This window comes from Homo sapiens, chromosome 17, assembly GCF_000001405.40.
Source record: "Homo sapiens chromosome 17, GRCh38.p14 Primary Assembly".
Taxonomy (NCBI): domain Eukaryota; kingdom Metazoa; phylum Chordata; class Mammalia; order Primates; family Hominidae; genus Homo; species Homo sapiens.
In genome coordinates this window covers 39,327,794-39,355,388 of record NC_000017.11, presented here as the reverse complement: position 1 = coordinate 39,355,388, position 27,595 = coordinate 39,327,794, and the positions used below count along the sequence as shown (strand labels likewise).

At 43.7% G+C, this 27,595-nt stretch overlaps 1 protein-coding gene across 6 annotated transcripts in view, besides 2 other annotated features; it reads left to right on the top strand.

The window, feature by feature from the left end:
• FBXL20 (F-box and leucine rich repeat protein 20) overlaps positions 1 to 27,595 on the top strand; it is a 149,894-nt gene that overhangs the window by 47,168 nt on the left and 75,131 nt on the right. For all 6 annotated transcript variants that reach the window (XM_047436952.1, NM_001370209.3, NM_001370208.3 and 3 more), the window contains exon 2: positions 12,148 to 12,209. In XM_047436952.1, the coding sequence (XP_047292908.1) occupies positions 12,148 to 12,209 (62 nt within the window). The remainder of the gene's footprint in view (positions 1 to 12,147; positions 12,210 to 27,595) is intronic.
• Positions 17,390 to 18,147: an enhancer, noted in NCBI's record as "H3K27ac hESC enhancer chr17:37493495-37494252 (GRCh37/hg19 assembly coordinates)". NCBI's record gives its function as "activates a minimal SCP1, AML or CMV promoter by ChIP-STARR-seq in primed H9 embryonic stem cells {active_cell/tissue: H9 hESC(primed)}" and the evidence as "EXISTENCE:reporter gene assay evidence [ECO:0000049][PMID:30033119]".
• Positions 21,807 to 22,317: an enhancer, noted in NCBI's record as "H3K27ac hESC enhancer chr17:37489325-37489835 (GRCh37/hg19 assembly coordinates)". NCBI's record gives its function as "activates a minimal SCP1, AML or CMV promoter by ChIP-STARR-seq in primed H9 embryonic stem cells {active_cell/tissue: H9 hESC(primed)}" and the evidence as "EXISTENCE:reporter gene assay evidence [ECO:0000049][PMID:30033119]".

The window sequence follows — 27,595 nt, the reverse complement described above, 5'->3', positions numbered from 1 at the left end:
TATATGAAGAAGGCCAGGTGTCGTGGCTCATGCCTGCAATCCCAGCACTTTGGGAGGCTGTTCTCAACCTTAGGGGCTCAAACAGTCCACCCACCTCAGCCTCCCAAAGTGCTGGGATTACAGGCGTGGCCATAGTGTTTTTAATCAAGAAATTTTAGGCCGGGCGTGGTGGCTCACACCTGTAATCCCAGCACTTTGGGAGGCTGAGGCAGGTGGATCACTTGAGGTCAGGAGTTAAGAGACCAGCCTGACCAACATGGTGAAATGCCGCCTCTACTAAAAATAAAAAATTAGCTGGGCATGGTGGCGCATGCCTATAATCCCAGCTACTTGGGAGGCTGAGGCAGGAGAATCACTTGAACCAGGGAGGCAGAGGTTCTAGTGAGCTGAGATTGTGCCATTGCACTCTAGCCTGGACAACAAGAGCAAAACTCTGTCTCAAAAACAAACAAACAAACAAAAAAACCAAGAAATTTTATGTGGTGAACATCCCTTGAAATAAGTGGGCTGTAACCTGGATTTCCAAACTTTTGTTTTTTCAACTATTTTAATTGTTATTTTATTTGTTGTAGTATAATTCAGTCTGTCTATTGCTGTGCTGATATCATTCATATCTTATTTGCTAAATGGGTGACATTCAATTTATTAAATATTTTTATTGCATTTTTTGCAAGACAGTCTGCTATAGAGATACGTAGTGAAAAAGCCACAAAAGGCTGCTGGGAATTTACAGTCAAAAAGAGGGGAGGGATTAGAGTACTTCCAGATTCCTAACGTATAAATAACATTCATTGATTCAGTGATTCCTAGGCACTAGTTTAGCTGTGGGTTGCTGACTATACTGTGGTGACAAAACAGACATGGTCCCTTTCCTCTCAGAGCTTATAGTCTGGTAACACCAACGTAGGACTGGTATTCTGAGCTTTGGGATGCTTTGAGGTTTCATAGGAGAAGGAACAGTCACATCCAGTTAACGAGATTGAGAAGGACATGGAATGGGTAGTAAGTGCGATGAACATTAATCTCTTTGTATTGACAGAGTAGGCAGATTTCATTGCACAGGTACTCTAAAGAAAATAGCATGAACAAAAAAGCAAGAGCTTGTTTGAGGAGAAGCAAATGGTCCTCAGGGATACTATCTTATTTGTTTTCCCCGTTGGTAGACTTCACTATATATCATTAAACAAAAGATGCCATGAATTATAAACTGCAACTTTATTTTATACACAGATGCTTTTGGTTTTTAATTGTGAGATGAATCCTGATTTCACAGATGCCAGAATGTGAAAATACTTGTACCTTTAAAATTTCTGTGGTAAAATACATGTAACATAATATTTACCATCTTAACTGTTTTTAAATGTACATTACACAGTTCAGTAGTGTTAAGTACATTCACAGTGTTGTACAAGCAATCTTCAGAACTCTTCATCTTGAAAAACGAAACATTTTTAAGATAAAAATAGGCTGGGTGCGGTGGCTCACTCTTGTAACCCCAGCACTTTGGGAGGCCAAGGCGGGCGGATCATGACAAGGTCAAGAGGTCGAGACCATCCTGGCCAATATGATGAAACCCCATCTCTACTAAAAATACAAAAATTAGCTGGGTGTGGTGGCGCGTGTCTGTAATCCCAGCTACTTGGGAGGCTGAGGCAGGAGAATCGCTTGAACCTGGGAGGTGGAGGTTGCAGTGAGCCAAGATTGTGCCACTGCACTCCAGCCTGGCAACAGAGTGAGACTCTGTCTCAAATAAATAAATAAATAAATAAATAAATAAATAAATAAATAAGGTGTAGTGGTCTCCCTTATCCATGGGGAATATGTTCCAAGACCCCTGGTGGAAGCCTAAAATTGCATATAGTATAGAACCCTATATATACTATGATTTTTTCTATACTTATATACCTATGATAAGGTATGATTTATAAATTAGGCACAGAAAGAGATTAACAAAAATAACTAATAAAATAGAACAATTATAACAGTATACTGGAATAAAGTTGTGTGAATGTCTCTTTTACTAACCTGTTTTCAGACTGTGGCTGACCATGGACCGTAGAAAGGAAAACCACTGATAAGGAGGTACTTAGTAAGTTTAGTAAGTTTTAGTAAGTTTAGCTGCATATGTTTTAGTAGGTTTAGCTGCCTATGTATTACTAAGTTTAGCTGCATATGTCAGAGACCCAAATTAAAAGTGGCTTAAATATTTATGTTTATTTTCTCTCATAAAGTCCAGATGTAGACAGTTTTTATTGGCATGGTATCCCTGCAATCATCTGCAGACCTTTTCTAGTTTTCTGCTTGTCTTTAAAACGGTGGCCTTCAGCTTCATGATACAAGATGGAGTTCCAGGCATCCTAATCCTATTCTAAGCAGCAGAATTGAGAAAGGGGTAAAGAAAAAGGACATAACCTCTCTCTTTAAGTACTCTCCTGAAAGTGTACATGGCACTTTTTCTTACAACCTACTGGTCAAAACTTAGTTACTGAATCCTGCCTAGCTGCAAGAGAAATAGTCTTCTTTCCACACAGCCAGGTGCTAGCTAAGAATTGGGAATTCTGTATATAATCTATAAAGCTTAAATAATATAGGTCAGAGCTTTTAATTTCCTGTTTAGTACTTAGTAGATTTAATTTAAGCAATAGGGGTCACTGTTGAACAAGTATTTCTTTCCTTTTTTTTCTTCTTTTCTTTTTTTTTTTTTTTCCCAGACAGAGCTTCACTCTGTTGCCAAGGCTGGAGTGCAGTAGCCTGATCTCGGCTCACTGCAACCTCCGCCTCCAGGGTTTAAGCAATTCTCATGCCTCAGCCTCCCAAGTAGTTGGGACTACAGGTGCACGCTACCACACCCGGCTGATTTTTGTATTTTTTAGTAGAGATGGGGTTTCACCATGTTGGCCAGTCTGGTCAACTCCTGAGCTCAAGTGATCTGCCTGCCTCAGCCTCCGAAAGTGCTGGGATTACAGTTGTGAGCCACTGTGCATGGCCATTTCTTTCCTATTTTTTTTAATGTATTTATTTTTTCAGACATGGGGTCTCGCGATCTTGCCCAGGCCAGACTTGAACTCCTGGGATCAAGCGATACTCCCCTTCAGCCTACCAAGTAGCTGGAACTACCGGCACACACCACTGTGCCTGGCTCTTTCCTAGTTTCTTTGTTCAACCTTTCGGCCCTTTTCCACCCAACCTCTGGTTTTAGAGCCTCCTGAAGTGGTTTCTTGGGTCCTGTTTATTTACTAAGCATTTAAATAAATGTATTATGTTAGTAAACAGATCCCTCAAATGTGTCAAACTGAGATTTAGAAACTGATAGAAAAGGCAAAAGTAATAGCGTGCACGCGCGTGCACACACACACAAGCTGCTTAATATTCACAAACTCTATTAGATGATATAATTCTACATTGGTACAAGGGCCTTCAAAGTTGTTTCCTCAGCTATGTACGTTATAGAAAAACAATTATAATTTTATACAAACCAACAGTATATTATTGTATATAAACCAAGTTGCTTAGCTTTTTAAAAACCAATATATTTAAGAACATTCTACCCCTAGAAGTCATGGCTATCACAGTGTCTGCTTGCATGTTTAGGTGATATTGTCCTTTGAAACAATAAGAAGAGAAGAATCTAGTTGCTCCCATGTTTTTCTGCTGATTACTTCCTTGTAATTGTTTATAGATGACAGAAATATATCATGATACTTCCTGTGTTAATATAAAACCAGAGAATTACCTAAGAATGTTAAACATTTGAATAGTTATTTCCTCTACAACTGTTATATTGAAAATCCTTCACAAGATTGTTGTAATTTGTTATAGCCTTGATCTAAATTGTTTTGACTCCTTTTATATTTTTGAATGAGAAACCTGGAGTTTGGATTCAACTGAAATATAAAATAGTAAAATACCTAAAACACATATTCTATTGCTTTTATGAAATAGTTGTTTTATAAACAATAGCATGAACAGGAGCAGGAACCATTTGGGTTTCCTAGAAAACATCTAGTGTTATTGTGTCTACTTTTAGGATTCTTTTTTTTTTTTTTTTTGGTGAGACAGAGTTTCTCTCTTGTTGCCCAAGCTGGAGTGCAATGGTGTGATCTCAGCTCACTGCAACCTCCCCCTCCCGGTTTCGAGCAATTCTCCTGCCTCAGCCTCCCGAGTAGCTGGGATTACAGGTGCACACCACCATGCCCTGCTAATTTTTTGTATTTTTAGTAGAGATGGGGTTTCACCATGTTAGCCAGGCTGATCTCGAACTCCTGACCTCATGTGATCCGCCCACCTCAGCCTCCCAAAGTGCTGGGATTACAGGCGTGAGCCACTATGCTTGGCTTTAGGATTATTTTCTAATGTCTATTGCTGTGTCACTTCAAGTGATAATATTCTGGTTATGTGTTATTTTTTCCTGAGATCCTGAATCTACTTCATCTGACCTATTGGTTCTTAAACTTTAGGGTACATCAGTATCACATAGAGGTCTTGTTAAAATAGAGATTGCCCCACCATTTTCTCTCCTGCCCACCTACCCCCAGTCTTTGATTCTACAGGTCTAGGGAAAATCCTATGAATTTTCAATTCTTGTAAGTTCCGGGTTGATGCTGATACTCCTGCTCAGGGGACCATCCGTTCTTAACCACTAATCTGGTTCTTTCTTACAAACCTGGAGTTAGGAGACTTATGTGCAGAAGAAAGGGGAGGGAAATATAAATCTGGACAGATGTCTTACACATAATGGCATTTCCCAAATGGTTCCAGGGTGCTGTTTCTTTTTCCCTTCACTTTAATGCTCCTACAGAGGCAGCAGCATTCTCAGTTTATATAGACCAAAGCAAGGGAGGAAATTAGCTATGTTTTTTTTTTTTTTTTTGCTTCTTTTTTTGTTTTTGTTTTTGTTTTCGAGAAGGAGTCTAGCTCTGTTGCCCAGGCTGGAGTGCCATGGCACAATCTCAGCTCACTGCAACCTCTGCCTTCCAGGTTCAAGCGATTCTTCTGCCTCTGCCTCCCAGGTAGCTGGGATTATAGGCATGCAACACCATGCCTGGCTAATTTTGTATTTTTAGTAGAGATGGGGTTTCTCCATGTTGGTCAGCTGGTCTCGATCTCCCAGCCTCAGGTGATCAGCCCGCCTTGGCCTCCCAAAGTTACAGGCATGAGCTACTGTGCCTGGTGCTTCTTTGTTTTTATATGTGAAATTGTAGAAGTCATGTGAACAACATATAATGTGTTTTTTTGTTATTTTCCATTATTATGTATATTGAAGTGAACATAGTGCCTTATTAGGTGAGATGTGGCATTTAATACTTTGTTTTCTAAAATTAAAATGATTAAGTTTTACTTTTTGTGGATTTGGGTTGGACATAGTTCTAGTAGATTGAGTGTTTGATAGAATATTTTAAATAATTTTTTGGGCATGAAACAAAGTTTTGACTGCATCTTTTTTTTTTTTTTTTGAGACGGAGTCTCGCTCTTTAGCCCAGGCTGGAGTGCAGTGGCGCGATCTCTGCTCACTGCAAGCTCCGCCTCCCGGGTTCATGCCATTCTCCTGCCTCAGCCTCCTGAGTAGCTGGGACTACAAGCGCTAGCCACCATGCCCGGCTAATTTTTTGTATTTTTAGTAGAGATGGGGTTTCACCGTGTTAGCTAGGATGGTCTCGATCTCCTGACCTCGTGATCTGCCTGCCTCAGCCTCCCAAAGTGCTGGGATTACAGGCGTGAGCCACTACGCCTGGCCTTGACTGCATCTTGACTGTGACTTATCACAAGAGGTCAGGTGTGGAATTTTCTTATTTTTTTTTTCCAGAGGTGGGGTCTCACTGTTTTACCAGGCTGGAGTACAGTGGTGTAAACACTGCTTGCTGCATCCTTGACCTCTTGGGCTCAAGCTATCCTCCTGCCTCAACCTTCCAAGGTGCCGGGATTATAGGCATGAGTCACCTTGCTCAGCCCAAAATCTGAAAGATTTTGAGTGCTGACATGACACCACTATGGAAAATTCTGACCAGGCATGGTGACTTAATACCTGTAATCCCAGCCTTTTTTTTTTTTTTTTTTTTTTTTTTTTGAGATGGAATCTTGCTCTGTTGCCCAGGCTGGAGTATGGTGGCTCGATTTTTATTTATTTGCTTATTTATTTTGAGACGGAGTCCCGCTCTGTTCCCCAGGCTGGAGTGCAGTGGCATGATCTCAGCTCACTGCAACCTCTGTCTCCCGGGTTCAAGTGATTCTCCTGCTTCAGCCTCCCAAGTAGCTGGGATTACAGGTGCCTGCCACCATGCCTGGCTAATTTGTGTATTTTTAGTAGAGACGGGGTTTCATCATGTTGGCCAGGATGGTTTCAAACTCATGACCTCAAGTGATCTGCCCGCCTCAGCCTCCCAAAGTGCTGGGATTACAGGCATGAACTGCTGTGCCCGGCCTAATCCCAGCAATTTGAGAGGCTGAGGCAGGAGGATCTGTTGAGCTCAGGCATTCAAGACTAGATTGGGCAACATAGTGAGACCCCATCTCTACAATAGATACAAAAATTAGTCAGGTGTGGTAACACGTTTCTGTAGTCCTAGCTACTCAGGAGGCCGAAGGGGGAGCATTGAGTCCGGAGGTCAAGGCTGCAGTGGTCTATGATAGGACCACTGTACTCCAACCTGGGCAACAGAGTGAGACCTTGTCTCAAAAGTAAGAACATGTAAACACATTACAACTTTGTGAATTACTGCCTATGAGTGCATCTGGAGAATGATGACCATAGTGACATAGTATCTTTGAAACCATGTTATTTAAGAACATTAGAAGAACCTGACTGGGCACAGTGGCTCACAAATGTAATCCCAACACTTTGGAAGGCTGAGGCAGGAAGATTGCTTGAGGCCAGGAGTTTCAGACCAGCCTGGTCAACATACTGAGACTCCATCTTTTTTTTTTCTTTTTTTTGAGACGGAGTCTCGTTCTGTCGCCAGGCTGGACTGCAGTAGCATGATCTCGGCTCACTGCAACCTCCGCTCCCAGGTTCAAGGGATTCTCCTGCCTCAGCCTCCCAAGTAGCTGGAACTACAGGTGTGCGTCACCATGCCCAGCTAATTTTTGTATTTTTAGTAGAGACTGGGTTTCACCATGTTGGCCAGGATGGTCTCCATCTCTTGACCTCGTGATCCACCCACCTTGGACTCCCAAAGTGCTGGGATTACAGGCGTGAGCCACCGCGCTCAGCCGAGACATCATCTTTTGTATGTGTGTGACACAGCCCTCAGGAGATCCTGAGAACATGTGCCCTGCGAGACTCTCTCTCTACCAAAAAAAAAAAAAGACGAACCCAACCTTGTTTAGAGAGAAATGTAATGGTTTAGTTTTGAAAGACTGCCTTCTGAGGAGGGATTGGATTTTTTTTTTCTTCTAAAAAATGTAATTGTCAAACCTGACAAAATCAAGAAATGGAGAAAGGATTCCCTATTTAATAGATGGGGCTTGGAAAACTGGCTTGCCATATGTAGAAAGCTGAAACTGGATCCCTTCCTTACACCTTATACAAAAATTAATTCAAGATGGATTAAAGACTTAAATGTTAGACCTAAAACCATAAAAAACTCTAGAAGAAAACCTAAGCAATACCATTCAGAACATAGGGGTGGGCAAGGACTCCATGACTAAAACACCAAAAGCAATGGCAACAAAAGCCAAAATTGACCAATGGCATCTAATTAAACTAAAGAGCTTCTGCACAGCAAAAGAAACTGCCATCAGAGTAAACAGGCAACCTACAGAATGGGAGAAAATTTTTACAATCTTCCCATCTGACAAAGGACTAATATCCAGAATCTACAAAGAACTTAAACAAATTTACAAGAAAAAATCAAACAACCCCATCAAAAAGTGGGCAAAGGATATGAACAGACACTTCTCAAAAGAAGACATTTATGCAGCCAACAGACACATGAAAAAATGCTCATCATCACTGGCCATCAGAGAAATGCAAATCAAAACCATAATGAGATACCATCTCACACCAGTTAGAATGGCGATCATTAAAAAGTCGGGAAACAACAGGTGCTGGAGAGTGTGGAGAAATAGAAACACTTTTACACTGTTGGTGGGACTGTAAACTAGTTCAACCATTGTGGAAGACAGTGTGGCGATTCCTCAAGGATCTACAACTAGAAATAACCATTTGACCCAGCGATCCCATTACTGGGTATATACCCAAAGGATTATAAATCATGCTGCTATAAAGACACATGCACATGTATGTTTATTGCAGCACTATTCACAATAGCAAGGACTTGGAACCAACCCAAACGTCCATCAATGACAGACTGGATTAAGAAAATGTGGCACATACACACCATGGAATACTATGCAGCCATAAAAAAGGATGAGTTCATGTCCTTTGTAGGGACATGGATGAAGCTGGAAACCATCATTCCGAGCAAACTTGCAAGGACAGAAAACCAAACACCACATGTTCTCACTCATAGATGGGAATTGAACAATGAGAACACTTGGACACAGGGTGGGGAACATCACACACCGGGACCTGTTGTGGGGTGGGGGGAGGGGGGAGAGATAGCATTAGGAGATATACCTAATGTAAATGACGAGTTAACGGGTGCAGCACACCAACATGGCACATGTATACATATGTAATAAACCTGCATGTTGTGCACATGTACCCTAGAACTTAAAGTATAATAAAAAAAAAAGTAATTGTCAGTCATTAGCATTTCTAGTAGTCTGTTTGTTGCACTGAAACCTGCTAAATGATTCAACTTTTTGTTACTAAGTATTGTTGCTTTTTTAACAATCTTTGTTCCAGTTTCTTTTCATTTCACTGTCCCTGTTAATCTTACAGACAACTGCGTCATCTTTTACTTGGACCATAATTTTAATGGATTCCTAACTTTATTTCCTTCCTACTAGTCCAGAGTTCGGTGTCTTTAGGATTCTCTTCCCTGTGGTGGTGTTTCGCATTTCTAAACTGTATACAGGTTTCCTTCATGGTGTAGCCCCACCATCCATTTAATAAACCATTCATTATGATGATTATCTTTTTTTTTTGAGACAGGATCTCACTCTGTCGCCCAGTCTGGAGTGCAGTGGTGTGAACATGCTCCACTGCATCCTTGACTTCCTGGGCACAAGTGATCCTCCCACCCCAGCACCCCCCCACCAAATAGCTGGGACTACAGGTGTACACCATCACATCTGATTTATTATTTATAAATCTTTTTACATCTTTTTTCAAGATGAGATCTCACTATATTGCCCAGGCTGGTCTTGAACTCCTGAGCTCAAGCCATCCTCCCACCTTGGCCTCCCAAAGTGCTGGGCTTACAGGCATGAGCTACCACTCCCAGCCAATGCCTGGTTAATTTTTGTGTTTTTTGTAGAGACAGGATTTCACCATGTTGCCCAGAGGTAGATTTATTGATTTCCTGCCATGTAGCAGGCTCTGTGCACAACCCTAAAATTATGCCAAACATAACAGGCATGCTCCCTGCCCTCACAGGGCTTTCCATTTATCTGGAACGTAGGTTATTGTAATCAGAAAATATTTAGGCCAGGTGTGGTAGCTCACACCTGTAATCTTAGCACTTTGGGACACTGAGTTGGGAGGATCCGTTGAGCTCAGGAGTTTGAGACCAGCCTGGCCAACATGGTGAAACCCTGTCTCTACTAAAAATATAAAAATCAGGCAAGTGTGGTGGCAGGCGCCCATAATCCCAGCTACTCAGGAGGCTGAGGCAGGAGAATCGCTTGAACCCGGGAGGTGGAGGTTGCAGTGATCTGAGATTGTGCTATTGCACTCCAGCTTGGGCAATAGAGCAAAACTCTCTCAAAAAAAAAATTATTAAAATTATTCTTTAAATGAAATTGAGGGGCAGTGCATTTTATCTGTGACTTCCCTACCATTTCTGCTTTCTCTTCATTACCTCTACTTTGAATCTCCATGAGATACCAGGATCTTCATGTATGACTCCATTATTTTGTACATATTGTTATCTTTTTTTCCCAGCTAATTTTTGGCCTTCTTTTAAGCTCAATTTAGATACAACTCCGGGTAGAATTAGTTGTGCCATTCTTTGTTCTCTCTTACATCTCTTGTCATCTGTCTCTAGTAATTAGTACATTATTTGCTTTCTTCTGTTTTCTTCATTGTAGTGCAAGAGCTCCTTAAGGATAGAGATCGTGTCTTTTTTTATCCCATTGTCTAGAAAAGTGCCTGATTGGGTATTCAGTAATGTTTATTGCATGACCTTAAGAGGAATTTCTGCAATACTTAATAGCAGCGACGGAACGTATTTCTCTCAGCTTCGGTCACATGTGTATGTGCCATTTTTACTGGGCTTTTGATTGTGTATGGTATTTGGTTTTTTACATAGCTTGCTAGATAAGCTTACAGTCATGATCTCCTTTGTGGCAAAAATGGTGGCTCTCGTTAAAAGTATCCGTTGTGAGTAATTTGATTAATTTGTTAAATGATCACTTGAGTGCATCAAGTGATGCACTTGATGCCACTATGGTGGCAGTTATGAAGCACTGTTGGTTTTCTGCACAATATATAAACATGAAAGAGAATATTTTCCTTTTTTAATTTTTATTTTTATTGAGATAGAGTATTGCTGTGTCACCCAGGCTGGGGTGTAGGGGCGCCATCTTGGCTCACTGCAAGCTCTGCAGCCTGGGGTTCAAGTGATTCTCATGCCTCAGTCTTCTGAGTAGCTGGTACTACAGGTGTGTGCCACCACACCTGCGTACTTTTTTTTGTATTTTTAGTAGAGATGGGGTTTCGCCATGTTGGCCAGGCTGGTCTCGAACTCCTCACCTCAGGTGATCCACCCACCTCAGCCTGCCAAAGTGCTGGGATTACAAGTGTGAGCCACTGTGCCTGGCCAAAAGTGAATATTTTCTATTCCAGATTTCCGAACATCTCCTTGAGCAAGTAAATGTGAGCCAAGTTTGGGGAGTCATCTTCTCTTAATGGCATATTAAAATAGTCACTCCATAGTGATGTGAGCTGAGCAGTAAACCTTTTTTTTTTTTTTTGGAGAGGGGTTCTCACTGTCTCGCTGAGGCTGGAGTGCAGTGGTGTGATCTCAGCTCACTGCAACCTCCACTTCCCTGACTGAGGCAGTCCTCCCACCTCAGCCTCCCACGTAGCTAGGACCACAGACGCACACCACCACGCCTGGTTCATTTTTTGTGTTTTTTGGTAGCGACAGAGTTCCGCCATGTTGGCCAGGTATGGTGGCTCATGCCTGCAATCCCAGCACTTTGGGAGGCCAAGGCGGGTGGATCACGAGGTCAGGAGTTCAAGACCAGCCTGACCAAGTTGGTGAAACTCCACCTCTACTAAAAATACAAAAATTAGCTGGGCACCGTGGCAGGGACCTGTAATCCCAGCTACTTGGGAGGCTGAAGCAGGAGAATTGCTTGAACCTAGGTGGCAGAAGTTGTGGTGAGCCGAGATCGCACCACTGCACTCCAGCCTGGGCGACAGAGTGAGACTCTGTCTCAAAAACAAACAAACAAAAATTAGCCGGGCATGGTGGCATGCACCTGTAACCTCAGCTACCCAGGAGACTGAAGCAGGAGAATCGCTTGAACCTGGGAAGTGGAGGTTGCAGTGAGCTGAGATCATGCCACTGTACTCCAGACTGGGCAGCAGAGCAAGACTCTGTCTCAAAAAAAAAAAAAAAAAAGAGTTTTCGCCACGTTGCCTGGGCTGGTCTTGAACTCCTGAGCTCAAGCGATCCGCTTGCCTCAGCCTCTGAAAGTGCTGGAATTACAAGTGTGAGTTGCTGCGCCCGGACTCTGAGCAGTAGACCTTTGGTAACCAAGCTTCCTATCTATAAAGTGAAGATAATAGGGATGGTATGAAGATTAAAACCATTAATATGTGAAAACATCTGAAACAGTATCTGGCACGTAATGTATCCTTCTGACTGCTCTTGTTTTTCTTTGGAGACAGGGAATGAATTAAATGCCTCGAAGATCTTTTTCATCTTAAAGAGTTTCCAAAATTATGACTTTGGTTTATGATGCCGACTATATTTTTTTACCTCTTTCCTGAGAGAATTGCCTCTAAACTATTGAGTTGAACATTCTGTAATAAAATGTTAAGTAACACTTGACACTATGATTTTGTTTTTGCAGATGTTCTCAAATAGTGATGAAGCTGTAATCAATAAAAAACTTCCCAAAGAACTCCTGTTACGGTAAGTCTGAATGCTAATTTTATGGGTTTTTTTATGTGTATGTCATATTTGCCTGTTTAAAATTTTTTAACTTTTTGCTAATTTTCATATATGTATAGTATCTGTATCTGAATTTTTAAATTTGATTGCTTTGAACAATCTTACTCTGCATTTTTTAGATGTCAATCAAGATATTTCAAAATTTAGTACCAATTTTTTCCATTCCAACTTGTACTTATGATATGATTTTATGTACATATTTTCCCTTTTCTTTATTCTTGTATATACAGTAACGTAGGTTTTTTGTTTGTTTGGTTTTGAGACAGGGTCTTGCTCTGTCATCCAGGCTGGAGTGCAGTGGCGCAATCACGGCTTACTGCAGCCTCAACCTCCCAGGCTCAAGCAGTCCTCCCACCTCAGCCTCCTGAGTAGCTGGGACTACAGGCACATGTCACCATGTCTGGCTAATTTTTTTTGTTTTTTTGAGACGGGGTCTCTCTCTGTCGCCCAGGCTGGAGTGCAGTGGCGCAATCTCAGCTCACTGCAAGCTCTGCCTCCTGGGTTCACGCCATTCTCCTGCCTCAGCCTCCCGAGTCGCTGGGACTACAGGCGCCCGCCACCATGCCTGGCTAATTTTTTTGTATTTTTTAGTAGAGACGGGATTTCACTGTGTTAGCCAGGATGGTCTTGATCTCCTGACCTCGTGATCTGCCTACTTTGGCCTCCCAAAGTGCTGGGATTACAGGCGTGAGCCACGGTGCCCAGCCCCAATTTTTTTTTTTTTTTTCAATTTTATGTAGAGAGAGGTGGTCTCACTGTGTTGCCCAGAATAGTCTTGAACTGCTGAGCTCAAGCAGTCCTCCCACATCAGCCTCTCAGGGTGCTGGGATTACAGACTTGAGCCACTGTACCCGGCCTACAGTAGCTCACTTGAGGTTTACTAAGATTTAGGAAAATTACTTGACTCTGGTAACTGGCCCTACTGTGTTATGGTCTACATTTTTATTTTTTATTACTTCTAGAGTTCTTTGTTTTCACCATGAAACTCAAAATTCCATACCATGGCCTACAAAACCCCTCATGATCAGACAGGGGTATAACATAAATATATAAACTGGTTTCTGTTTTTAAATAATTAGTCTGACTACCATGCAAAGACCAAATTGCGGGATAGGAGTGGGGAGCAATAGGAAGGCTGTTCAGTAAATCCATCCAAGAGATAACATTTCCTGAAATTCTTTAGACTGCAGCATTGCCTACTTGTGCTCTTTCTTGCTTTTGTCATCATTTCTGACCTCACTCTACTACATGTTGATGAGCTATAAGGTGTGTAGTTACCATACAGATGACATTACAAGTGAAGTTCGATGAGGAGAAACTTCTAAATCAACCAGACTTGGCTATCACAAACAAGTCGTAAATCTCAGTGGTTTTTTTCTCCAAGGCTGAGGGCAGGTGCACAAGATACCAAGCCAGTTCACCTAAGTGATCTTTGATACAGCTTACATTTCTACTTAGATTCCATTGCCTGAAGCGAGTCACATGTCCAAGCCTAATAGTGATGGAGTGAGGAAGTATATGGGAGAAGGAGTATATGAACATATGTAAACAGTCCTGTAGGTACCATATATATACACAGTCACATATGAACCCTCTCTCCTTAATTCGGCCTGTACTCTTCAGTCTTCAACATTGACTACAGTGTAGAGTTATGTAATGATTTTCCAGCATGACCTCTGCCTCTCATCTGAAAGAAGATATGTGACTGTTTTCTCAAGTTGGGACACTGGAGGTATTTTATCTATAGCAACATTTTTATCATTGAGAGCTTGATTTGGATTTATATGTGTTATATTGGAATAACTCTTATATACATTATAGGTTAAATTGGTTCCTTTCTAAGCTAATCAGGGAATCTAACTATCATTTATTACATGATTTCTATGGGAAAATGAACTTGAATTCCAAACAACCAATTCTGAACTTAATGTTGGAAACAAGTCCTTCCTAAATTGGAGGCCAAATGAAATTAGTATCCTGGAAAGGAAGGAAACAGATTTGACACCACAAAACACTTAATACTTATGAATGTATTTAACTATACAAAACATTGGTTTATGTATGTAAAGTAGTTGCTTGAAATTTTGAAATTTTGTTTAAACCCCATGATGAAACCTTGCCATGTTACAAAAAAAAAAAAAAAGCAAAACTTTGTTTAAACAATTAAAGCCAAATAGCATAGAGGCATCTTTGACATTATACTAGATAGAAAACAATTGGTCAGCACAAATTTTAATAAATTCACTTTGGGGCATTTGTAATTTTAAAAAATTCATTGAGTTTAATATATCTTTAAAAGTTTTAAGTAATGGTTCAAAATTACTTTCAAATATGTGGTTTTTATGACTGGAACAGTAGATGCCTCTGGGAAGGATAACTGGGTAGTAGGAAGATGAGAAAAACTGACTTTTTATTAGGCTTTTATGTATCTTTTTTTTTTAGATGTTCTTATTTTTAAGTTTTCATTTTGAAATAGTGTCATACTTAAACAAAAAGTTCTAAAAATAGGATAGAGAATTTATACTCCAGCTTTCTCAATTAATATTAACATCTTACATCTCAATAATATCAGTTATCAAAATCAGGAAATTAACATTGAAACAGGACTGTTGGATGGGCACAGTGGCTCACACCTATAATCCTAGCACTTTGGGAGGCCAAGGCAGGCGGATCACTTGAGGTCAGGAGTTGGAGACCAGCCTGGCCAACATGGTGAAACCTCGTCTCTACTAAAAATACAGAAATTAGTCGGGCGCGGTGGCTCACGCCTGTGATCCTAGCACTTTGGGAGGCCGAGGTGGGCGGATCCCAAGGTCGGGAGATTGAGACCAGCCTGGCCAACATGGTGAAACCCCATCTCTACTAAAAATACAAAAATTAGCCTGGCATGGTGGCACATGCCTGTAATCCCAGCCACTCGGGAGGCTGAGGCAGGAGAATCGCTTGAACCCGGGAGGCAGAGGTTGCAGTGAGCCAAGATCGCGCCACCGCGCTCCAGCCTCACAACAGAGCGAGACTCCATCTCAAACAAACAAAAACCCCAGGAATTAGCTGGGCATGGTGGCAGCGGGCATCCCAGCTACTTGGGAAGCTGAAGCAGGAGAATCACTTGAACCTTGGGAGGCAGAGGTTGCAGTGAGCGCCATTGCGCTTCAGCCTGGGCGACAAAGCGAGACTGCATTTCAAAAAAAAAAAATCCAGTTACGGTGGCTCATGCCTGTAATCCCAGCACTTTGGGAGGCTGAGACGGGCGGATCACGAGGTCAGGAGATCAAGACCATCCTGGCCAACATGATGAAACCCTGTCTCTACTAAAATACAAAAAAAAAATTAGCCAGGTGTGGTGGTGCGCGCCTGTAGTCCCAGCTACTCGGGAGGCTGAGACAGGGGAATCGAACCCTGCAGGTGGAGGTTGCAGTGAGCTGAGATCACGTGCCACTGCACTCCAGCCTGGTGACAGAGCAAGACTCAAAAAAAAAAAAAGTTCTGTGAACTAATCTACAAACCTTATTCAAATTCTTCAACTGTACGGTAGTATTCTTTTTTTGGCCCAGGATTCAGTCCAGGATTGCACGTTACATTGAATTGTTATGCCTCCTTGCTCTTCTAAGAACAGGATTTTATCCACAGCTTCAACAGGGAAGCAGGAAATACAGCAGGATTTCCTGCTGAATACAGAAAAGTCTCCTGCTGTCACTCAAGCTGGACTGCAGTGGTGCAAACACAGCTCACTGCAGCTTTGACCTCTCAGCCTGAAGTGATCCTTCCATCTCAGCCTCTTAAGTAGCTGGGACTCAGGTACATGCCACCACACCTGCCTAATTTTTAAATTTTCATAGAGATGGGGTATTGCTATGTTACCCAGGCTACTCTTAAACTATGGCCTGGCTAATTTTCTTATTTTTTTTATACAGATGGGGCAGATGGGGTCTCACTGTGTTGCCTAGGCTGGTCTTTTTTTTTTTTTTTTTTTTTGAGACAGGGTCTCACTGTCTCCCAGGTTGGAGTGCAGTGGCATGATCTCGGCTCACTGTAACCTCCGCCTCCCAGGTTCAAGCGATTCTCCTGCCTCGTCCTCCTGAGTGGCTGGGGCTACAGGTGTGCACCACCACACTTGGCTAGTTTTTGTATTTTTTGGTAGAGACAGGGATTCACGATGTTGGCCAGGCTGGGCTCAAACTCCTGACCTTGAATGATCTGTCCACCTCAGCCTCCCAAAGTACTGGAATTACAGGCATGAGCTGTTTTACCCAGGGTTGATAATTTTAAAGAATATTGGTCAGTTTTAAAATAGAATATCCTCGATTTGGCTTTGTCTGATGTTTACTCTTGTTTTCTCATAATTAAATTCAAGTTATGCAGTTTGACAAGTATACTGTAGAAATGGTGGTGTATCCTTGTCCATGTATCAACAAGAGGTACATGATGTCAATTAATGCTTGTTACTGGTGATATTAATTTTGGTCACTTAGTTAAGGTAGTGTCTTTTAGCTTATCCACTGCAGAATTATGTTCTTTGTAGTTAATAAATTTATTTTGGCTAGAACTACATTGAGACTACATTATACATTGTGACTTTTTTCGTTTATTATTATTATTATTATTTTTTATTGATCATTCTGGTGTTTCTCGCAGAGGGGGATTTGGCAGGGTCATAGGACAATAGTGGAGGGAAGGTCAGCAGATAAACAAGTGAACAAAGGTCTCTGGTTTTCCTAGGCAGAGGACCCTGCGGCCTTCCGCAGTGTTTGTGTCCCTGGGTACTTGAGATTAGGGAGTGGTGATGACTCTTAATGAGCATGCTGCCTTCAAGCATCTGTTTAACAAAAACATCTTGCACCACCCTTAATCCATTTAACCCTGAGTGGACACAGCACATGTTTCAGAGAGCACAGGGTTGGGGGTAAGGTCACAGATCAACAGGATCCCAAGGCAGAAGAACTTTTCTTAGTACAGAACAAAATGAAAAGTCTCCCATGTCTACTTCCTTCTACACAGACACGGCAACCATCCGATTTCTCAATCTTTTCCCCACCTTTCCCCCCTTTCTATTCCACAAAAGCGCCATTGTCATCATGGCCCGTTCTCAATGAGCTGTTGGGTACAGCTCCCAGACGGGGTGGTGGCCGGGCAGAGGGGCTCCTCACTTCCCAGTAGGGGCGGCCGGGCAGAGGCGCCCCTCACCTCCCGGACGGGGCAGCTGGCCGGGCGGGGGGCTGACCCCCCCACCTCCCTCCCGGATAGGGTGGCTGGCCGGGCGGGGCCTGACCCCCTCCTCCCTCCTGGACGGGGCGGCTGGCCTGGCGGGGGCTGACCCCCCACCTCCCTCCTGGACGGGGCAGCTGGCCTGGCGGGGGCTGACCCCCACCTCCCTCCCGGATGGGGTGGCTGCCCGTCGGAGACGCTCCTCCCTTCTCAGACGGGGCAACTGCCGGGCGGAGGGGCTCCTCACTTCTCAGACGGGGCGGTTGCCAGGCAGAGGGTCTCCTCATTTCTCAGACGGGGCGGCCGGGCAGAGACGCTCCTCACCTCCCAGACGGGGTCGCGGCCGGGCAGAGGCGCTCCTCACATCCCAGACGGGGCGGCGGGGCAGAGGCGCTCCCCACATCTCAGACGATGGGCGGCCGGGCAGAGACGCTCCTCACTTTCCAGACTGGGCAGCCAGGCAGAGGGGCTCCTCACATCCCAGACGATGGGCTGCCAGGCAGAGACGCTCCTCACTTCCCAGATGGGGTGGCGGCCGGGCAGAGGCTGCAATCTCGGCACTTTGGGAAGCCAAGGCAGGCGGCTGGGAGGTGGAGGTTGTAGCGAGCCGAGATCACACCACTGCACTCCAGCCTGGGCACCATTGAGCACTGAGTGAACGAGACTCCGTCTGCAATCCCGGCACCTTGGGAGGCCGAGGCTGGCGGATCACTCGTGGTTAGGAGCTGGAGACCAGCCCGGCCAACACAGCGAAACCCCGTCTCCACCAGAAAAATACGAAAACCAGTCAGGCGTGGCGGCGCGCGCCTGCAATCCCAGGCACTCGGCAGGCTGAGGCAGGAGAATCAGGCAGGGAGGTTGCAGTGAGCCGAGATGGCAGCAGTACAGTCCAGCTTCGGCTCAGCATCAGAGGGAGACGGTGGAAAGAGAGGGAGAGGAAGACCGTGGGGAGAGGGAGAGGGAGAGGAGGGAGAGGAGGGAGAGGGAGAGGTCGTTTATTATTTTTAACATCCATGATGTTATATGAAGGTTAGCATTGTGGAGTTTGCTACTATGGTGGTTTCTGTCTGCTCAATTCTTTCTACTTTCTTTTTCTTTTCTTTTTTTTTTTTGAGATGGTGTCTCACACTGTCGCCCAGGCTGGAGTGCAATGGTGCAATCTCGGCTCACTGCAACCTCTGCCTCCCAGGTTCAAGTGATTCTCCTGCCTCGGCCTCCTGAGTAGCTGGGATTACAGGCGTGCGCCACCACACTGGGCTAATTTTTGTATTTTTAGTAGAGATGGGGTTTCACCATGTTGGCCAGGCTTGTCTCAAACTCCTCACCTCGTAATTTACCCACCTTGGCCTCCCAGACTGCTGGGATTATAGGTGTGAGCCACCGCCCCCAACCTTCTACTTTCATTAATTGTAATTCTGCTGTAAGGTAGAGCTTTCCCATCTGTTCTATTTATAGTTAGTGTAGTATAGACTCATGGATATTTGTTTTAGTCTGAATTATATTGTTACCCTCACTGCTTATTTTGTTGCTCAGCCTTTCTTTGTCTTTTAAATTTGTGTGTGTCTTTTGAGTTTCTGTGTATTAGCTATTTTTAAAAGTGCAGTTTAATAAATATACAACATTTGGTTTGTTTAGATTTTAAGTTACATATTATGTCATTTCATCAAACATATATTAACCTACAAAAACAATTGTGTTGTTAGGACCATATTATTTCCATGTATTTGCAGTGCTTACAGCCAAGTTACCAATAATTTAAGCAAATGTTCTTGGTTCCTCTATTTTATTCTAGTCCCCCTCCCTTCCCCTCCCCTCCCCCCTCTGACAGGCTCTCACTCTGTTGCCTAGGCTGGAATACGGTGGGATGATAATGGCAGTCCCAAACTCCTGGGCCTAAACGATTGATCCTCTTCCTCAGCTCCTGAGTAGCTGGGACTACACGCATGTTGTTTTCTTTTGTAGAGATGGGGACTCACTTTGTTGACCAGGCTGGTTTTGTACTTCTGGCCTCAAGCAATTCTCTCCCCTTAGCCTCACGAAGTATTAGGATTACAGGCATGAGCCACTGCACCCAGCCTGTTTCCCCTTTTATACTGATTCTCTTCCTTCCCTATTGAAACAAAGTTTGTGATTAATGGTTTAACAAGCTGGAATCCACTGTTTGCATAATGTGAAATTCAGTTAGCAAGATTGACAGTACTCCCTCTTAGAGCAAAACCATATGTACTTACTTAGCGGTACCACTTGAAAAAGGAACATCTATGTTTCTAAGACAAAGACTGTGTTTTCCAAGAGCTACTGTGAAGTGAGTTGTTTCTCAAAGATTCCTTCTTTTTTTTTTTTTTTTTTTTTTGAGACGGAGTCTCACTCTGTTGCCCAGGCTGGAGTGCAGTGGCATGATCTCGGCTCACTGCAACCTCCGCCTCCTGGGTTCAAACTATTCCCCTGCCTCAGCCTCCCAAGTAGCTAGGACTACAGCACGTGCCACCATGCCTGGCTAATTTTTTGCATTTTTAGTAGAGACACTGCAGCGGGATAATTAAGGAATCAGAGAGACCGGAGGGGTTGAGGAGGAATTATTTAATTGTTTAGGTGCATCAACCCAGTCAGATTAACATCCAAAGGACTGAGCCTTGAACAAAAAGTCAAGCTACCTTTTAAGCATTTCGTGGGGTGGGGGTAGATCTGTGCAGGGGGAAGCGTATTACAGAAGCAAGAAACAAAGACAGTTATTCAGTTAAGACATGCATTACATCATTTCTTACTTTTTAAGGAACAACATGTTTTACGACTTGAGATTATCTGTCTAGTGACCTTGCAGCTGCACAGCTAGAGAAACAGGGTCTTCACAATGCCTGGGAAGTGGAGAGATAAGGCTCACTAGCCACAGAGGGAAAAACAGGCAGTTAATTTTAAAGGACTCCAGCTCTTTCTCTTCCTCAGGGGGAATTGGGTTTTCTTACATACAACTGAGTTTTTGCTTACACATTCTTTAATTTCTTTTAATTTCTGTTCCAACGGTGTTTCACCATGTTAGCCAGGATGGTCTCAATCTTGTGACCTCAGGATCCACCCTCCTCAGCCTCCCAAAGTGCTGGGATTACAGGCATGAGCCACTGTGCCCAGCCCTCAAAGATTCCTTCTGAGGATGACGTTGATAACTGTAAAAATGACATTAAGTGATAAAGATTGCTTGAGTCTGCACTGTGCCCTTTTAGTTATAACATGCGGTTTCAGAATAAGGACTGTTATTACCTATAAGAATATGAAATTTTTTTAAAGGATTCAGGTAAAAAAGAATATGAAATTTTTTTCTCATTTTTTCAACTCTTCTGGTGTTGGGTCATAATTGTGATGTGATATATCCTCTGTAAGTGGGTAAGAGGTGAACTTTATGAACTGAAATGGCAAGCATGGATTAGCTGAATTTTTTTTTCGAATTTTTTTTTTTTTAATTTTTTTAGTATTTATTGATCATTCTTGGGTGTTTCTCGGAGAGGGGGATTTGGCAAGGTCATAGGACAATAGTGGAGGGAAGGTCAGCAGATAAACATGTGAACAAAGGTCTCTGGTTTTCCTAGGCAGTGGGCCCTGCTGCCTTCCGCAGTGTTTGTGTCCCTGGGTACTTGAGATTAGGGAGTGGTGATGACTCTTAACAAGCATGCTGCCTTCAAGCATCTGTTTAACAAAGCACATCTTGCACCACCCTTAATCCATTTAACCCTTAGTGGACACAGCACATGTTTCAGAGAGCACGGGGTTGGGGGTAAGGTTATAGATTAACAACATCCCAAGGCAGAAGAATTTTTCTTAGTACAGAACAAAATGGAGTCTCCTATGTCTACTTCTTTCTACACAGACACAGCAACAATCTGATCTCTCTTTCTTTTCCCCACATTTCCCCCTTTTCTGTTCGACCAAACTGCCATCGTCATCGTGGCCCGTTCTCAATGAGCTGTTGGGTATACCTCCCAGACGGGGTGGCGGCTGGGCAGAGGGGCTCCTCACTTCCCAGACGGGGTGGCTGCCGGGCGGAGGGGCTCCTCACTTCTCAGACGGGGCAGCCGGTCAGAGACGCTCCTCACCTCCCAGACGGGGTGGCGGCGGGGCAGAGACACTCCTCAGTTCCCAGACGGGGTCGCGGCCGGGCAGAGGCACTCTTCACATCTCAGACGGGGCGGCGGGGCAGAGGCGCTCCCCACATCCCAGATGATGGGCGGCCGGGCAGAGACGCTCCTCACTTCCTAGACGGGATGACGGCCGGGAAGAGGCGCTCCACACTTCCCAGACTGGGCAGCCGGGCAGAGGGTCTCCTCACATCCCAGACGATGGGTGGCCAGGCAGAGACGCTCCTCACTTCCTAGATGGGGTGGCGGCCGGGCAGAGGCTGCAATCTCGGCACTTTGGGAAGCCAAGGCAGGCGGCTGGGAGGTGGAGGTTGTAGCGAGCCGAGATCACGCCACTGCGCTCCAGCCTGGGCAACATTGAGCACTGAATGAGCGACACTCTGTCTGCAGTCCCGGCACCTCGGGAGGCCGAGGCTGGCAGATCACTCGCGGTCAGGAGCTGGAGACCAGCCCGGCCAACACGGGGAAACCCCGTCTCCACCAAAAAATACGAAAACCAGTCAGGCGTGGCGGCGCGCGCCTGCAATCCCAGGCACTCGGCAGGCTGAGGCAGGAGAATCAGGCAGGGAGGTTGCAGTGAGTCGAGATGGCGGCAGTACAGTCCAGCCTCGGCTGGGCATCAGAGGGAGACCGTGCAAAGAGGGAGACGGAGAGGGAGGAGGGAGAGGGAGAGGGAGAGCTGAATTTTTTTCCTTCTAAAATAGTAGAGAGCCAGGTGTGACTCAGGCCTATAATCTGAGCTACTTGGGAGGCTGAGGCAGGCGGATTGCTTCAGGCCAGGAGTTAGAGACCAGCCTGGGTAACATGGCTAGGCACTATCTCTTAAAAAAGAAAAAGGAAAAAGGCAGCAATTCATACTGTGTTGGGGTCCCCTAGATCCATCCACAGGTATGGTGATGTGCAGGAGGATCCACAGGACTCATCATGTAGTCATACACACAACTATGGTTTATTATAAGAAAGGATACAGCTGGGCACGGTGGCTCATGCCTGGAATCCCACCACTTTGGGAGGCCAAGGTGGGCAGATCATGAGGTCAGGAGATCGGGACCATTCTGGCTAACACGGTGAAACCCCATCTGTACTAAAAATACAAAACATTAGCCAGGCCTGGTGGCGGGCACCTGTAGTCCCAGCTACTTGGGAGGCTGAGGCAGGCGAATGGCGTGAACCCAGGAGGCGGAGCTTGCAGTGAGCCGAGATCACGTCACTGCACTCCAGCCTGGGCACAGAGCGAGACTCTGTCTTAAAAAAAAAAAAAAAAAAAAAAAAGATACAAAGAAAAATCAGCAAAGGGGAAAGGTGCACAGGTAAAATGTGTAGGAAACTAGAAGTAAGCTTCCGAGGGTCCTTTCCCAGTGGAACCACACAGGGTGCACTTAATTCCTCCAGGAGCAAGTTGTGACGACACATGTGAAATATTGTCCATTAGAGAAGTTCATCAGTGAATGGTAGGAACCCTTCCAAAATCCAGCGGCTTAGGTGCCATTCAGGGGCTAACCTTGCAAGCAGGCATTTCTAAAGATAGCATTCTTAGGCCTGCTCTGTTAACTCTTTTCTGCACATGTGCAATCTCATATTCATTTCAGAGAAGCTCGCACACAATGTTTTATATTTCTTGTAGCCTCTCCTTCGGTTTAAATTCTAGGAGTTGAAGGTGTGGAAAAATACAAGTCTGTGTTTTCCTTCCTTTGAAAAGCATTAATAGTTAAGAACATGGACTCTACAATCTGACTTCCTGGATTCTGTCATACACTTGCTGTTAATTGAGGACACAATGCTCGGCACATAGTAAATGCTATAAAATTGTTAGGCATGTATTGTTACATTGGTTCTACTTTTTACTCATAGACCATAAAGTGAGTTTATGCTGTTTATAAATTACCCAGTCTGAGGTATTTTGTTGTAGCAGGCCAAATGGATTAAATATAAAAGTATAAAATACAAAAACTGGTAATAGAAATATTCAAACCATTACAGTGCAGGGCTGTTTAGTTAATGAAGAGACAAACAGATTTAGTCATTTAGGAGAGTTTCTCTATGTGGGATGACAACCGATGTTCTTTATGAGGGACATTAGATGTATAGAAATAATTAAATTACCTTTCCTTAAACTTTAATGTGGATACAAACATTTGTTGAGTGCCTACAGTGTTCCAGGCATTATGCTGAAGATAGAAATAAACAATCACTGTCCTCAAGGAGCTCACAGGGCAGTAGAGAGAACAGGCATGGAAATAATCAATATAGAGCTAGAAAAGAGGTTTTGCCTAGGGCATTATAGCAATCTCACATGTAGGGCTTTAAACCTAGCATGGAGAGTTCAGAAAATGCTTCCCCAGAAATGAGACAAATGAGCTGTGACTTAAAGAGTAGTAGCCTGTATCTACAAAAAAATACAAAAATTAGGCTGAGCATGATACCTCCCACCTGTAATCCCAGCACTCTGGGAGGCCGAGGCGGGCAGAAAATCTGAGTCCAGGAGTTCGAGACCAGCCTGACTAACATGGTAAAACCCCATCTCTACTAAAAATACAAAAATTAGCCGGGCATGATGGCACACACCTGTAATCCCAGCTACTTGGGAGGCTGAGGCAGAAGAATCGCTTGAACCCCGGAGGTGGAGGCTGTAAAAAAATCATGCCACTGTACTCTAGCCTGGGCGCAGAGCGAGACTCTGTCTTAACAAAACAAAACGAAAATAAAAATTAGCCAGGTGTGGTGGCACATGCGTGTAGTCCCATGAGAGAGATTGTTGTGTTGAGTCCTTTTTGTGGGCAGAGGAAAAGGACTTTGATTCAGGTATGCTACAAGATTTGAGGCCCAAGCTCTTTGCATAGTACCTAGTATTGTAATTTAGGATTTTATTTTTAAAGGCTTGCCTGGCAAATTAACCATCATTTATCTCTCTTGGAGAATTTACAAACTTTGTACATGTACTCCTTTTGTAAATTGGATGCTGCCTCTCTGTAGGATGTTATTTTCTCCCTGGTTTGTTTCTGCCTAATAGTCATCTGTTTTAATATTGTCAAGCTCATTGTTCCATTTCCTGGAGGAAAAATAAAAACACTCTCTAGAGTACATTGGATGTTTTAGTCTCTCAGGGAGAGACTTTGGCCCTGTTTGGCCCCTCATTTTCTTTCTTTTTCTTTAAAAGCAAATTATTTAATTAATCTATTTATTTGATTATTTTTGAGATGGAGTCTTGCTCTGTCACCCAGACTGGAGTGTTAGTGGTGTAATCTTGGCTCACTGCAACCTCCGCTTCCCAGGTTCAAGCAGTCTTCCTGCCTCAGCCTCCCAAGTAGCTGGGATTACAGACACACGCCACTATGTCCGGCTAATTTTTGTAGTTTTAGTAGAGCTGGGGTTTCACCATGTTGGCCAGGCTGGTCTTGAATTCCTGACCTCATGTGATCCGCCTGCCTCAACCTCCCAAAGTGCTGGGATTACAGGCATGAGCCACTGCACCTGGCCTATTTTTTATTTTTTATTTTTATTTTTTATTTTTTGAGACAGAGTCTTGCTCTGTTGCCCAGGCTGGAGCGCAATGGCACAATTTTGGCTCACTGCAACCTCAGCCTCCCAGCTTCAAGCAATTCTCCTGCCTCAGCCTCCTGAGTAGCTGGGATTACAGGCAGCCACCATCATGCCCGGCTAATATTTGTTTTGTATTTTTGTAGAGACAGGGTTTTACCATGTTGGCCAGGCTGGTCTTGAACTCCTGACCTCAGGTGATCTGCTTGCTTCAACCTCCAAAAGTGCTGGGATTACAGGTATGAGCCACCGCGCCCATCCTATTTTTGATTTTTTTGAGACAGAGCCTTGCTGTGTCACCCAGGTTGGAGTGCAGGTGACACAATCATAGTTTGCTGCAGCCTCAAACTCCTGGACTCAAGCAATTCTCCCATTCCAGCCTAGTAGCTAGGGCTACAGGCATGTGCCATCACACCTGGCTAATTTAATTTTTTTTCGTAGAAACAAGGTCTTGCTATGTTGCTCAGGCTGGTCTCGAGCTCCTGGCCTCAAGTGATCCTCCTGCCTTGGCCTCCCAAAGCACTGGGATTACAGATGTGAGCCACCATACCCGACCTTTTTTCCCTCTGTTTTTTTTCTGAACCATTAGAGATAAGTTATAGACATGATGCTTTTTACCCCTGAAAGGCTGCAGTATTTTCTAAAAACAAAAACATTATATATACATATATATCTAAGATAGATAGATAGATACAAAACACCACAGTACAGTAATCAAAGTGAAGATAACGAGCATTGGCACAGTACTGTTATGTAATCCAGAGACCCTGTTCTAGTTATTAATATTTTTTCATTTATATCCTTTATAGTAAAGGGGGAAAATATTTTTCTTCTTGATTCAGTTCCAGCCAGTATCTCAGATTACATTTATTTGTCACCTCTCTTTGGATGTATTTAATCTGCAACAATTTTTCAGTCTTTGTCTTTCACAACATTGACAGTTTTGAAGATTATAGGCCAGTTACTTTGTAGAATGTCCTTCATTATTAAATTTAACTTATGGATTTGGGTTAGAATATCATAGAAGTAGTATCCTTCTAACTGTATCATAACATAGGCATAGGATGTCTGTTTGTCCTCTTACTGGTGATGTCAGCTTTGATCATTAGGTCTGAGGAGTATCTGCCAGATTTTTTCGTTGTCATGTTACTTTTTTTTCCCTTTGTTTAAAGAATGTCCTATGGTAAAAATACTTTGAGACATTGTATTTATTTTATTTTTGACAGAGTCTTGCTCTGTCACCCAGGCTGAAGTGCAGTTGCCAGTGAAAGCACACTGCACCCTTGAACTCCTGCTCTCAAGCAATCCTCCCACCTCTGTCTCCTGAGTAGCTGGGATTACAGGCATGCCTCACCATGCCTAGCTAATTTTTAAATTTTTTGTAGAGATAGGGATCTCATTATGTTGCCTAGGCTGTCTTGAACTCCTGGCCTCAAGTGGTCCTTCCACCTTGGGCCTCCAAAATCACTGGAATTAGAGTCATGAGCAACTGTGCCTAGCCATGACATTGTAAATATCTTGTTTCTCATAAAACTTTGACTCACTAATTTGATTCTTTCCTGAAACAGTTATTACTATTGCAGTTGCAATATGATTGTGATTTTCTAAATTTACCGTTACTTCCACATTTTATTAGTTGGAGTTCCATTGTAAAGAAGAGCTTTCTCTTGGACTCCATTTTGTTATTTGTTTGTGTTTATATCCGTATGGATTCATGGATTGCTAATATATTCAGTGCATTGTTATCTCATTTGGGTTATCATTATTTTGATGCTCAAACTGTTTCAGATTTAGCCAGTGGGATCCCCTTCCAACTGTGTCCTTTGTCCTTTGAATATGTTCCCATCATTCATTGAGCACTTCCTTGTTTTCTGGCACAACAAGGTGTTTCAGACCCTTCTTACACCTCCCTTGATTCAGTCCTGGAATCAGTTATTTCTCCAAGGAGCCCTTGTATTTTTTTTTAGTAGAGAATGGTATTTATAAACTACAGTCTTTTTTTTTTTTTTTTTTTTTTTTTTTTGAGGCAGAGTTTCGCTCTGTTGCCCAGGCTGGAGTGCAGTTGGCGTGATCTCGGCTCACTGTAACCTCCACCTCCCATGTTCAAACAATTCTCCTGCCGCAGCCTCCCAAGTAACTGGGATTACAGGCACCCGCCACCACGCCCGGCTAATTTTTGTATTTTTAGTAGAGATGGGGTTTCACCATGTTGGCCAGGCTGGTCTCAAACTCCTGACCTCATGTGATGCGCCTGCCTTGGCCTCCCAAAGTGCTGGGATTACAGGCATGAGCCACTTTGCCTGGCCAGAAACTATACAGTCTTTATTCTAGATATGCTCATTGCTCCTGAGTGGCATTGCTTCTAGACTTTCTCATAAGACAGAGCTAAGAAATACATGTTTGGTTACCCGGGCGTGGTGGCAGGCGCCTATAGTCCCAGCTACTCGGAAGGCTGAGGCAGGAGAATGGCATGAACCC